At 37.1% G+C, this 14,727-nt stretch overlaps 1 protein-coding gene across 8 annotated transcripts in view; it reads left to right on the plus strand.

The window, feature by feature from the left end:
- Nucleotides 1-14,727, plus strand: part of ITPRID1 (ITPR interacting domain containing 1) — a 144,631-nt gene that overhangs the window by 62,460 nt on the left and 67,444 nt on the right. For 7 of the 8 annotated variants that reach the window (XM_011515213.3, XM_017011872.3, XM_017011871.3 and 4 more), the window contains 2 exons: nucleotides 1,314-1,885; nucleotides 6,585-6,642. In XM_011515213.3, the coding sequence (XP_011513515.1) occupies nucleotides 1,314-1,885; nucleotides 6,585-6,642 (630 nt within the window). The remainder of the gene's footprint in view (nucleotides 1-1,313; nucleotides 1,886-6,584; nucleotides 6,643-14,727) is intronic. The other variant, NR_047565.3, reaches the window with a different exon arrangement.

Below are 14,727 nucleotides of genomic sequence, written 5' to 3' on the forward strand. Positions count from 1 at the left end.
GGGAAATGTAATCAGAATTATTCTGAAACATCCAGAACCCCACAGTTCCTATAGGTCTTGGAAAAATATCACAGTCCTCTGTGAGAAATCTGTCACTTTTTTTGGAGTAGAAGGATGATTAGTCAATACTACTTCTTGTAGGTAAAAGAAAAAGGTAGGCACTGGCTCATGAGAGTCAGGGACGTTGCTGTGATGATGCAAACACAACAAAAGACAGCATCCTTGCCCACTTATGTGGTCCTTGACCTTCGCTGAGTTATGCAACCCCACATGCTATCACTGTGATTAAGAGGAGGCTGGGTAATAAAAACAAAATATTCCATTTTTGTTACAATGATTTTATTATCTTGAGATACCAAAAATATTTTCCACTTTTTTTTTTTTTCAAACTGGCAATATGTTCTCACTTTAGCCCTTGCTGCATTAGGTCTCTTCCACATGCTAATTAAGTCAATACTGTACTTGCATATGGCCCAAATGATAGAGGCCAGATCATCCAGAAAGACTTAACAGGTTGATGAGCTGGTTTGTTTTGAAGGGCAAATAGGTTTTTACATTAATGACTATCTTCTCTGGAAAGACTGAGGAGAATATATCCCCTTCCTAAGTCTTGCTCGTTTATAATCATTATTTTAACAACTGATACTTACATGGCATCGTGTCTTCACAATTTTGCTTTAGTGCTCATGACAGATGTGAAAAATACATGAGACATGAAAATACTGGCCATTTACTATGTGCCTGGCATGGCTCTAGCACTGTGTAGCTCTTAGTTATTTTATTCTGAGCTCAAACATCCAGTGAATGGTTGACCTGGAATTTGGATCCAGGACTTCTGACTCTATATGCCATGATCTTTCCACACTATCAGGTGACAGTATGGATAGGGATGATGTAAGTGATGGTAGGAATACACATCACATAGAGTTATGGAGGAATATTCAGGTAGCCTCATGTTGATAGCACTGGATTCACTGCTTAATATATGTTAGTACACAGATTCACCGATGCCTACCGTTTTTAATACCTAACACATAAAAACTATAGGCATATATGAATCTAAATAGTTATGCGTATTCAACTAAATACAAAAGCTGTTCACTTTCCCCATAACACAGCAAAATCTCATTACGTAGGGAAATCATCTCCATAATAGTAATGGCATATACTGAGAAAAACTTGAGTTTCAAGAGCCTAATGTCCTTCCTATCTTGAAAATTTCATGTTAACGGACCCTTCAGTTTTGACTACGTTAATATGGTTTCAGCAAAAAAGACCCAATCTGAAACTTTCGTGTTTCTTGTGTTGTGCAGGTCGTTTCCGACAGCTGGAAATCCTGGACCATGTGACCAATGCCTTCTCATCTCTGCTGAGTGATGTCAGCATCCTGCCAAACAGAGCTGAAGAGAAAGCTGGAGGAGAGAGTGTGCAAAGAACCTCAGTGAGTGCCGCCAAAGAGCATCGAAGAAGAATGGGTAAACTCTTAAGGAGAGCTTCCAAACAGAACATCAGGCGGGATTGTAACCCAGAGGTATCAGAGTCCTTCAAGGTGAAGGATGAAGTTTTTGTTCCCTTTACAAAACCATGGGATTGTGGAGCAGAGCTAGCAGCAACCTCAATCAACCACAAGCAAAATCATTTGTCTCTGTCAGTAGAACATCAGTCTCTCCAAGCCTGTGATGATTTGCTACCTTATCCTCCTCATGGTCTTCTGAGCAAGCAGTGGCCTTGCTCATCTATGCCGGCCAAGCAGGCTCCTCCTTCCTGTGTGTCTGAGGGGTCAGTCAAGGGCAGAACTCAGAAGGAGAACTTATTTCAGACTAACAAGCTCAAGAGCTTGTCTCATCTTGCAGGCAAAGGACCAGACTCATTTGAAATGGAAGAGGTCAGTGCTGCACCAACGTACCAGCCTCCTAAGGGAAATAACCTTCACTATGACACCCTTGTTTTCCAGCCCTCATTTCACCACTTCATCTTTTAATCCCTCAGCATTACTTCTTAGTGTTCTGAGTCAGTTTAGTGATTTAAAGTCATTCTAGTTGCTTTTGTTGGAAATAAGCTAGTAGGAAACCAGCCTCTGCTTGCTCCAGTATCTTTCCTTTCTTCTTGCTCGCAGTTGAATCCGTGGGTCATTTCTGACTTTGCTTTGGCTCAATTGTTTTATGTACCTGTATGTATGCTTTTTATCTATTCTCTAACTTTTCATGTTTTATCTTCTTCGAGGATCAGTTCAACTACTTCCCACTCAGTGAAACTTGCCTTAACCACTTCTCCTCTGTGTTCTCATTGCTTTAGCAGCGTGAGCTCGTTATGTTAGAGATTGAGTGTGTGTCAATGCTGTCTCCCCAAAAAGACTCTCAGCTCCTTTAGGGCCGGGGGTGTGTGTGGGAAATGTTTCCCCCACAATGCCTAACACAGGGCCTCAGACAAAGCTGTAGGGACTTGGGTATGGTTTTGATTTTAGGATGTTAGTGTGATTTTTATTTGTTTGCTTTGGGATGTATTGATTTTCACATAGCTTGACCTTCATTTCACACATGTTCTTTGCTCCTCCATCCCCACCTTCATTCATTTACACTAGTTTTTATCTTCACTTAAGTGACATTCTCACTTGTACTTCTCAGAGTTGGGTTTTTTTTTCTTTTCAAAAAATACGTATACATGTCCACTCATCAGTCTATTCATAATGGCAGCTAGGATTGGGAGTTAACTTGTTGTTAACTGTGTTATTTAGTATAATTACAGATAAGTAATTACAAAGGAAGAACAAGGCTTTTCTCTCCTTTCATCTAAATTATCTAAAAGTAGGGCAGGATATTTACATGCAAATTCCAAAGTGGGCTTACTTCTCCGTTGAGCCCTCTATGTGGCAGGCACAGAAATGGTAACAGAATCTGCCTTGAAAAGGGAACTACAGAGAAGTGGCAGGGATGGGCACTGAAACCATAAGATGGTAGGCACAGAGCCAGCCCTACAGATACACTTTACATCACTATACAGACATATTTTCGGGTATTCCAGGAGCAAGTAAAGGCATTCTTAGCCAGCCTGGGGCCGAGAGGATAAAGAAATTCATAGAAAGTAGGCTTAACCATAATTTCAAAAGAATAGGATTGAGCCAGGTGAATATGCCTATTGGCATAGCTGCATCCCACAAAGATATAAAAATTACTTTAAAATATGTAGATGTTAAGGTTCCTAATATCTATGTATATGTATATATGGTTGTGTACATATATGCCTTGTATAAAAATTAAAGAACCTTAAAATGTTAAACTGAATTTAAGTAGTAGCATTAAAATGAATAATAATAATAAAAGGAAGAAAAAAGCATACCTTTGGTCAAATGCCCTGATTTGAGGATAAACTGAGAAGGCGCTAAAAAAAGGATTTTTAAAAAACTTAATCTTGCAAAGATTATTTAATTACCAAGCCAATAGTTAAATTACTATAAAGAATGTCAAGCCTGCTGGGTGCAGTGGCTCACACCTGTAATCCCAACACTTTGGGATGCTGAGGCAGCGGATCACCTGAGGTCAGGAATTTGAGACCAGCCTGGCCAACATGGTGAAACCCTGTCTCTACCAAAAATACAAAAACTAGCTCGGTGTGGTGGAGGGTGCCTGTAATCCCAGCTACTCGGGAGGCTGAGGCAGGAAAATCACTTGAACCCGGGAGGTGGAGGTTGCAGTGAGCCGAGATCGCACCACTGCTCTCCAGCCTAGACAACAAGAGCAAAACTCTGTCTCAAAAAAAAAAAAAAAAAGAATGTTAAATCAATCTGCTATTAGCTAGGATCCGAACAAAAAGTTTCACCAAACTCCAACCCATTGTCAAGCCTCGTCAGACTCTATTGTCCCTGAAGGTTCTTCTGCTTCAAACTAGACTGATTTAGAGAAAAATAAAGTTCCTAGTAAGCCATCGAAATGTCAGAGTATAGGGATAGACAAACATCAAATTTATCAAATTTGATAAATTTTATATAACTAAATAAGAAAAGAATGTTAGTCCTTGATTGGTATACTTTCAAGAATTTTTAAATTACAATTATTCAAGAAAATACTACCTATTAGTATGTATTTGGGGAGAGAGTAGAAACACACTCAGACACCAAAATAAAGCAAACAAAATCACATGTTTCTTCGGCACATAGTAGGTACTTAGCAAATATTTGTTAATTGAGTGAACATCCAAAGAATTTGACAATATTAATTTAATCTAAGGATGACTTTCACAGAAAAACAGAACACTCTGTCAAACTTCATAGTCGTCTTTGTTTATGGTGTTATTATGTTCTAGGATTTGTGTGTGTGAGAGACTGTATGTGTATGTAAGGCAGAGATAGTCCTAAAATAATAAAAAAGAAACACACTACTCGAATTTCATTTTAATAAAAAGTGCATATAAAATATTACATTCTCACTGGGGAAAAAATATTTGTTTCACTCAATACCAGTGGATGAGTAAATGAAGCTTGGGTAGATTGCATCTTAAACAGAAGCCAATGCCAGATTTAATATTTATTTTTCAATGTCAAATTTTAAAATCCAATTATAAGAAATGAAAAATATGTGTGAAATTGGCAGATTTTCATGGCATTTAAAACAAGAGCCAATGTACTTAAATATCTAGTTATCAGAATTTCAAGTATGATTGGCCAAATTTTGCCTCCAGATCAACCAATGATGCTTTCCCTAAAGTCGTACTAAAAGCTGCATTTGGCAATGTTTGTCTCACTTCTCAAAAGTATAATTTCAACAAAATTGTGCATAGATTTTTTAATGGAAAAATCAACATATTTTTGCTTAATTTTACTCAGTAAAATTGAGTCAGCCCCTCTCTTTTTAAATTCCCAAATACATTAAGTGAATTTGATACTTGTAAAATTTGTGCAATTGTAAACTCAAGGTAGGATGCTTCTTCATATCCATAATAAATGATTTTTAGCTTTCCCTCCTGTTTGCATATAAGCATCATATTCTCTAGAAGTCACATGTGAGAACATTAACCATATTATTAAACAACCCCAGTCAACATCTTGATTAGGTGGGGGAATGTTTCAAAAGCTGTAACTATTTGTTTATTTTATTTTTTATTAATTAATAAGTGTGGCTCAGGTGGAATAGCCCAGGAATACACCTGGCTTTCATTTTAAATTAATGGGGCTTTTCCTTTTTTTTCAAAAGACAAACATGTGCTTCACATTGCCCTAAGTGGATTTTTCTCCATGATAATGGTCATAGCAAAAACTTTTTATTACACTTGAAAATGCATGTGATGTGCACTGACTTCAGTTACCAACACCAGTGAAAATAATGCTAAGAAGTATGTCTAATAGATTACAAGTGTAAAGTAACTGATTTGAAAAAAAAAGATGTGAAGGATTAAAAAGAGAAATTAAATATTTCTTCTTGTTATGGTTGAGCTATATTCTCATGGTCCCTAGTCTATTCCTGGGTTAGAGGTCATTTTTGGCCATGTGTACCACAATGTTTAAAATGTTTATGTCCTTTGATTCAGCTTTCTGTACTCAAATATCAATTCCAAATAAGTAATATGACATGTAGAACAGATTTATGAACAAGAATATTCACCTCAGCATTATTTCTAATTGCAAAATTTAGAAAACATTCCAACAGTGGGAGAATTGTTAAGTAAACTAATGTACTTCCTGAGAACAGCCTACTGTCCTGTCATTAAAGATGATGTTTTCAAAGAAATCTTATTATGTGGAATAAAAATTCCACCTTCAAATTTTTGAGAGAAAAAATTTGACTATGTGACAATATCCAGAAAAAATGTATATAAAAGAAAACTTGCAAAGAAATACTCCAAAATGTTTTTGGAGTAACAGTAACTGTTTTCTTATCTTCTTTTTATTTGTAGAGATGGGGTCTCACTATGTTGCCCAGGCTGATTTTAACCACCTGGCTTCAAGTGATCCTCCCACCTTTGCCTCCCAAAGTGTTGAGATTATAGGCATGAGTTATCAAGCCCAACCCTGTTTTTTTACCTTCTTCTTCTATGTATCAGTTTCTATAATTAGCTGTGTTGCTATTTTAGAAGTAATATGCATTATTTTGTTTAATGATAACTTTATTTTCATCAATACAGAAGTATTTATTAATTTCTTTAAAAATTTCAAAAATAAATTTTGTTCTAGCAATTTGGAAACTAAAATTTTGAAAAATGTCTAAGCACTATATAGCAATTAAATTTTCTGAATTACTCTCCATAAATTTATCAAGCCTTAATTAACTTTCTCCAAATATACTTAAAGTTCTTTGGAAGCAAAAAAAAATCTAGAATAGAAATATTATTATGTAAATTTCTTTCAAATGCACATCTTCCAGAAGAAGCACTGATCCTCCCATCCAGTTGTGATCTTCCCCTTTCCTCAACTTCTTTAATTCTTTGAATCTTCATCATCCCCGGTACCTCCTCCCAGCAGATTGCAAGTTATTTGAGTTCAGGAACTCATGTTTATCCCTCTTATCAGTTGCCAGTCTTATTATATGTTGATTAAAATAAGTGAATTTATTTGACAAAATTTCTAATGACATTGATGCATTTTGATATCTTAGGTCCAAAGCTTTGAAGAAGAGACTGGTAATCCTCTTGACATGACTTCAGGAACTGTAGGTAAGAATTCATCAAGGTGTGTGATCTCATCAATGGTCTTTCAGAATGTAAATAACTGGTATTTAAATTTCTTAATATGTACAGAGCTTAAATTATCTCTAGAAGGTACTCTAAATTCATGCATCTTCTGAGATATTAAAAGCCTACTGGCAGGCCGGGTGCGGTGGCTCATGCCTGTAATCTCAGCACTGTGGGAGGCTGAGACGTGGGGATCGCCTGAGGTCAGGAGTTCAAGACCAGCCTGGCCAACCTGGCAAAACCTCATTTCTACTAAAAATACAAAAAAAATTAGCTGGCGCAGTGGTGCGCACCTGTAATCCCAGCTATTTGGGAGGCTGAGGCAGGAGAATTGCTTGAACCCAGGAGGTGGAGGTTGCAGTGAGCTGAAATCATGCCACTGCACTCCAGCCCGGGCAACAAGAGAAAAACTCCATCTGAAAAAAACAAAACAAAACAAAAGAACCTACTGGCAATGCAAATGTACATGTAAATTTTAAAAGACCACAGAAACGTTCAATATTCCTGGGGCTAATGGTGTGTGTGGCTTGTCTGACACTAACTATATGATCTGACTACCATAGTGGAATGAATTTCATGGGACTGAGCCTGACTGTGGGGAGGGGGTACTTTTTCACTCCTTCTACCAACTGCTTCATAGTGCACATGCTGTTTTCATTTAACTGGGTCTCAGTTTTTCCATCTGAAATGAAGAAATAAGTGCAGATAATTTTAAGTTCTCTGCTAGCCCTTGCATTCTAAATTTTGTGTAATCTTAATGTTAAACTCTCAGTGGACAGAGGTTCCCTAGATGTAGCTTTGCAAGTCTTCTCTCAGAATGATGCTTTATCATCCTAAATAACAGAGAAGGAAACACTTCTCTATTCCTGGTTTTCATTCCCCCATTCAGTTGTCACTGTGATTCAGCATTTCCATGGTCTTATAAGGGAGTTAGAAGTAGGCAGAACTAGCCCAGCAAAATACAGCAGATGAAGCTCATGCATTTCCTGAAAGAAAATATGCAAATTTTTAATTTAATTTAGTGCTGTGTCAAACACATCTTTTTCATTACAAAGTGTATGTATGGGCCTCATTTTGCTAAATGCTGTTTAGAAATTATGCATTAGTAATTATAGGGTCCTGCTGATTACATAAATTCTTATCCTGCTCTTCGAAGTAATTACCACATAACCTGCATTGAGGCTTATAAGACAAAAATAAGCATCTGTTTCCCATCTAATTGAATGCTTTTCAATGAAGCTGGAGGTCCCCTTGCCAATAGGAATTGCCTTCCTTGACATTCTATTAAGAGGTCAATTAATACCATGTAAGTCGCCCCAATCATTCCAAAAAATTATTTGGGAAGTTAGACAAAAATTACTAATCTACATTTCATCTCGAATTGAGAGAGCAAAGTAAGGTAGGTGAAGGAGAGCCTAATGGATAAAATCTGACTTATGGTACAGCAAATGTGATTTTGTTACTTTCAAAAATAGTGTTGTTAACTGAAACAAACACAAGACTGAGAATAAATATGTAAAACTAGTTCAATTAATGGGAAAAGGAAATTTTCATATGTATATGATAACTGTGTGTGTAATCACTTTGAGATATGTATACATGCATTTTTTTCTCAAAGTACAAAACAATTACTTCATTTTAAAGATGAAAGCACATGGACTATTTTGACCAAAATATTATAGCAGCAGTGATGTTGTGCTAGTTTCAGTGCCACTCACTCAGCTGCTTCCTGACTCTTGAGATATTTCCTCTTGGAACATTCCCTCTGGGAACCCAGCCCCTATGTTGTGCAAAGCCCAAGTGACATGAGGATGCCACATGTGGACTTTCTGGTGGACAGTGCTGCATGAGCTCCAGGTGAATAAGCCATCTTTGATGTCTGGCCCAAACGTTCAGATGACTCTAGCCCAGGTGCCATCTGATGCAACTACATGAGAGAATCCAAGAGAAACCACACCGAGCTGGCCAGCCCACAGAGTCAGGAGGTAGTAAATTGTTGTTTTAAACACATAAATGGAGGTATACGATGAACTCTTCAAATACCTTTAAAATTCGTTAAAAACCAGTAGTAAGACTGTATTGCCTCTGCTCATGGGCAATACTCTGCATACTAGCAGAAAAATTATGTTTAAGCATTTCCTAATTGAATTTGAACAAATTGACTTCATATAGAAAATTGGGACCCAAGGCCACAAATATACTATCCTCCCTGAGCCCCCCAAAAGTAAAATGCCACTTAAATGGCAAGGGAATATAAGGAAAAAAAGGAAATATATAATAGTGCTATTTAAAAGGAAGAAGAGGAGGAGAAGTCTATCATTCATATTCTCTAAGACTAGGACTTTGTGTGGGATACATTGTGGGCGAAGTTGCAGACAATTCTAGGTAAAGGCCCATCTAGGGGTTAAAAAGATGAGTCTACTGCAGAACTATACTAACATGATAAGGTAAAAATTTCCAAGAGAATCTCACTTAGCTATCAACTTGGACAAGATATGCCTTCCCTATCACCTTATAAAATCATCAAACCAAGCAAAATTGTAAGATTTAGCAGTTCAAAAATCAGAAGTTATTCAGAATAAATGTCCACTAAAAAAGAATGATTACAAAGAAGCATGACAAATCTTTTTTTTTTATTATTATTATACTTTTAAGTTTTAGGGTACATGTGCACATTGTGCAGGTTAGTTACATATGTATACATGTGCCATGCTGGTGCGCTGCACCCACTAACTCGTCATCTAGCATTAGGTATATCTCCCGATGCTATCCCTCCCCCCTCCCCCCATCCCACAACAGTCCCCAGAGTGTGATATTCCCCTTCCTGTGTTCATGTGATCTCATTGTTCAGTTCCCACCTATGAGTGAGAATATGCGGTGTTTGGTTTTTTGTTCTTGCGATAGTTTACTGAGAATGATGATTTCCAATTTCATCCATGTCCCTACAAAGGACATGAACTCATCATTTTTTATGGCTGCATAGTATTCCATGGTGTATATGTGCCACATTTTCTTAATCCAGTCTATCATTGTTGGACATTTGGGTTGGTTCCAAGTCTTTGCTATTGTGAATAATGCCGCAATAAACATACGTGTGCATGTGTCTTTATAGCAGCATGATTTATAGTCCTTTGGGTATATACCCAGTAATGGGATGGCTGGGTCAAATGGTATTTGTAGTTCTAGATCCCTGAGGAGTCGCCACACTGACTTCCACAATGGTTGAACTAGTTTACAGTCCCACCAACAGTGTAAAAGTATTCCTATTTCTCCACATCCTCTCCAGCACCTGTTGTTTCCTGACTTTTTAATGATCGCCATTCTAACTGGTGTGAGATGGTATCTCATTGTGGTTTTGATTTGCATTTCTCTGATGGCCAGTGATGATGAGCATTTTTTCATGTGTTTTTTGGCTGTATAAATGTCTTCTTTTGAGAAGTGTCTGTTCATGTCCTTCACCCACTTTTTGATGGGGTTGTCTGTTTTTTTCTTGTAAATTTGTTTGAGTTCATTGTAGATTCTGGATATTAGCCCTTTGTCAGATGAGTAGGTTGCGAAAATTTTCTCCCATTTTGTAGGTTGCCTGTTCACTCTGACGGTAGTTTCTTTTGCTGTGCAGAAGCTCTTTAGTTTAATTAGATCCCATTTGTCAATTTTGTCTTTTGTTGCCATTGCTTTTGGTGTTTTAGACATGAAGTCCTTGCCCATGCCTATGTCCTGAATGGTAATGCCTAGGTTTTCTTCTAGGGTTTTTATGGTTTTAGGTCTAACGTTTAAGTCTTTAATCCATCTTAAATTGATTTTTGTATAAGGTGTAATATCATACTGAATGGGCAAAAACTGGAAGCATTCCTTTTGAAAACTGGCACAAGACAGGGATGCCCTCTCTCACCACTCCTTTTCAACATAGTGTTGGAAGTTCTGGCCAGGGCAATTAGGCAGGAGAAGGAAATAAAGGGTATTCAATTAGGAAAAGAGGAAGTCACATTGTCCCTGTTTGCAGATGATATGATTGTATATCTAGAAAACCCCATTGTCTCAGCCCAAAATCTCCTTAAGCTGATAAGCAACTTCAGCAAAGTCTCAGGATACAAAATCAGTGTACAAAAATCACAAGCATTCTTATACACCAATAACAGACAAACAGAGAGCCAAATCATGAGTGAACTCCCATTCACAATTGCTTCAAAGAGAATACAATACCTAGGAATCCAACTTACAAGGGATGTGAAGGACCTCTTCAAGGAGAACTACAAACCACTGCTCAAGGAAATAAAAGAGGATACAAACAAATGGAAGAACATTCCATGCTCATGGGTAGGAAGAATCAATATCGTGAAAATGGCCATACTGCCCAAGGTAATTTACAGATTCAATGCCATCCCCATCAAGCTACCAATGCCTTTCTTCACAGAATTGGAAAAAACTACTTTAAAGTTCATATGGAACCAAAAAAGAGCCCGCGTCACCAAGGCAATCCTAAGCCAAAAGAACAAAGCTGGAGGCATCACACTACCTGACTTCAAACTATACTACAAGGCTACAGTAACCAAAACAGCATGGTACTGGTACCAAAACAGAGATATAGATCAATGGAACAGAACAGAGCCCTCAGAAATAACGCCGCATATCTACAACTATCTGATCTTTGACAAACCTGAGAAAAAGAAGCAATGGGGAAAGGATTCCCTATTTAATAAATGGTGCTGGGAAAACTGGCTAGCCATATGTAGAAAGCTGAAACTGGATCCCTTCCTTACACCTTAGACAAATCTTTAGGAATTAATATTCTCAGTGAGTTGTATGAGGACATGGCGTCTATGTAAGAGAACCATCTCCAATGAGTAGATTCCTTCCAGATAAAATACACAATGCTTGATTCTGTTTCTGATGCTAAGTAACTCCTAATGAGCCAACCCTCCCACAGAGAATAATCATAAACTCTGGACAAAATATTTTTAAAACTCCTACATAAAGGTACTGAAGAGTGACCAAAAGTGAACAAAGAGTGGAGGGAGTTTCAACACATAGAAGGAAGGAATGGCACTGGGTGAGTGTCCTGTTTTTTAAAAGCTTTTTATTTTGAGGGTTGGCTCCAGTTGACACCATCCTAAAACTCTAACAGAAAGTAGCAGTCTTGGCCAGGTGCAGTGGCTCATGCCTGTAATCCCAACACTTTGGGAGGCTGAGGTGAGTGGGTCACTTGAGGTCAGGATTTTGATACCAGCCTGGCCAATACGGTGAAACTCTGTCTCTACTAAAAATACAAAAATTAGCTGGGCATGGTGGTGGGTGCCTGTAATTCCAGCTACTCAGGAGGCTGAGGCAGGAGAATTGATTGAACCTGGGAGACAGAGGTTGTGGTGAGCCTGGATTGTGTCAACTGCACTCCAGCCTGGGCAACAGAGTGATACTCTGTCTCAAAAAAAAAAATTAGAAGTCTTATGAGTTAAAAAAAATCAGAATATAAAATTTGAGGAAATGATAATAGCTGAAAAGAGAAGGAGGAAAATCACAGAAAGGAGAGAACCAAGGAGGAAAATCTCCAAATTCTAGGAATTAAATCTGTTCAAATCTCTAACTAACTGTTGAACCAAACACACATGGAAAGGACTTAAAGAATCTGTTAAGACTAAAATAAGTGAACTGAGATTTTCATTTGGGGTTTGATTCCAGCCAAGTTCCCTGCCTCCTTAAACAATATACCATTCACAATATTCAGGAACAATAAAAATATACTAGACACATGAAGAAATAAGAAAATATAACTCATATTCAAGAAAAATGGCAATTAATGAAGACAAACCATGAGAAAACCCAGATGTTCTAATCAGCAGATAGGGAGATTATTATAATTATGCTGAAGGATGTAGAGGAAAATATGCTCACAATGAATGAAAAGATAGAAAATCTAAAAAAAAGAATTATAATAAATAATAAAATGGAAATTCTGTAAATAAAAACTATAATTCCTGAAATTCAATATTCATTTAACATTACATCAGAAACAATGAAAGAAAGACTTGGTGGATTTTAATATATCTATAGACGTTATCCAACAATCGGAAGATCAGGAAAAAGATTTGAAAATTATAGAAAATACTTATCTGAGTTTCAGAAGCCTGTGAGGCAGTATCAAAGGTCAAATATATATGTAGTTGCAGTCTGAGAGGGAAAGGACAGAGAAAACTGTGCGAGAAAAAAATATTTGGAGAAATAATGGTGGGAAATCTTCTAATTTTGCTCAAAGATTTACATTTACAGATTCAAGAAGCCAGCAAACTCTAAGTGGGATAATTACAAAGAAATTACAAAGAAAACCACCTAAATAATACCAGGATCAAACTGATAGAAATCAAAGATAAAAGAAAATATTTAAAGCAGGCACACAAAAATGACATATTGAATACAGGGGAATAAAGATTTGAATGACAGAAGACTTCTCATTAAAAACAACAGAGACGAGAAGACAGTAACTATGAGCCAGAAATATACATGCAGCAAAAATATCCTTCAAAAATAAAGATAAAATTTCAGACAAACAAAAATAACTCATCACCAGCACCCATGTACTGTAAACATTGCTAAAGGAAGTTCTTTAGACCAAAGATGGGCAGGGTATTGTGGTGTTGTATACCATATGTTGATGTTATACTTGACAATTTATAGCATACAGGGTGGGGGAGTTGGTAAATGAACAAAGATACCTACAAGATTTCTACATTTTACATGAAGTGGTACAATATAACTTTAAGTAGACTGAAAAAATAAGGATGTAAAGCAGACAAAAAATGAGAGGTATAGCAAAATGCTAACAAAAATTTATATACATATATATGTGTGTATATATATACACACATATATAGTTTGTTTTTTGAGGTGGGGATCTCACTCTGTAGCCCAGGTTGAAGTGCAGTGGTGCAATCCTAAATCACTGCAACCTTGAACTCCTAGTGTCAAGAGATCCTCCTGCCTCTGCCTACCAAGTATCTGGGATCACAGGCACATGCCACCATGCCCAGCTACATTTTTAAAATTAAAATATAATTCTTAAAATTCAATAGAATTAGTAAGAGACAGACTGGTACATGCATAAAAATGACTGAAAACTAGGAGATGTGTGAGAAATTACTTAAGAACTAAGTGGGAAAAGAAAAAGAAATGAATATAATAAACAAAATGTCAAGGAAGACAGATCCAAGAAATACTACATAGATGTAAGAGGTGGTTGCAGTTGGACTCTTAATGTCTTAAGTTTTGTCTGGGGTTCTAAAAAAGATATATATCTGATACAAAGTCAATATGTGGCAAGCATATATATGCAGTTTTCTAAGGAATTTGTAGGAACCAGTTCCACAACATTGAACCTTTCAGCCATCATGAATATAAAGAGCGGACAAGTTGCAGAGAGAAGAAAAAAAATGGATGAAGAGATTTCATTGGAGAACACTGTTTCCCTGCTGGGTATCCCCATTCCTTCTTGGGAGGAAGATTGAGGACACTAAATTTCACTCCTAAGCAGTAAGAAGCCTGCAAGGAGATCACTCACAGAGTAGTGTCATTATATTTAACAAATACAGACACACTGTGACAGGTACTGTTCTAAGTGTTTCACATGCTTTACTTCATTTAATCCTTAAAATAAACCTTTAAGGTAGGCACTGTTACTATTTCTGTGTATTAGATGAAGAAACAAGCATGGAGAGGTTAAATAAGTTGCCTCAGTTTCTCATACAGTTCAAAGTGGTGCCAGGTTTCAAATTCAGCCTGTCTAGCTCCAGAGTGTACACTCTTGAATGCTGTGCTATGCATCTGGAAAAGGAGTCCCTTGCATCTGGGAGATGCATGGCTCATGCATGAGAACATCAACACTGACTGTGGAATGGGCTGTGCCTCCAGGTCAAGAACTCTAGTGAGCAAGACAGGAGTTGACCCCAGTATTTCATCAATTATAAGATGAATGATTTTTCCCAATTTGTCATCCTTGCAATCAAGATACATGTTATAATTGATGACAGGTCTTAGTTTAATTGGTAGAGAGTTTTTTCTTATTATAAAATAATGAGA

This window comes from Homo sapiens, chromosome 7, assembly GCF_000001405.40.
Source record: "Homo sapiens chromosome 7, GRCh38.p14 Primary Assembly".
NCBI lineage: Eukaryota > Metazoa > Chordata > Mammalia > Primates > Hominidae > Homo > Homo sapiens.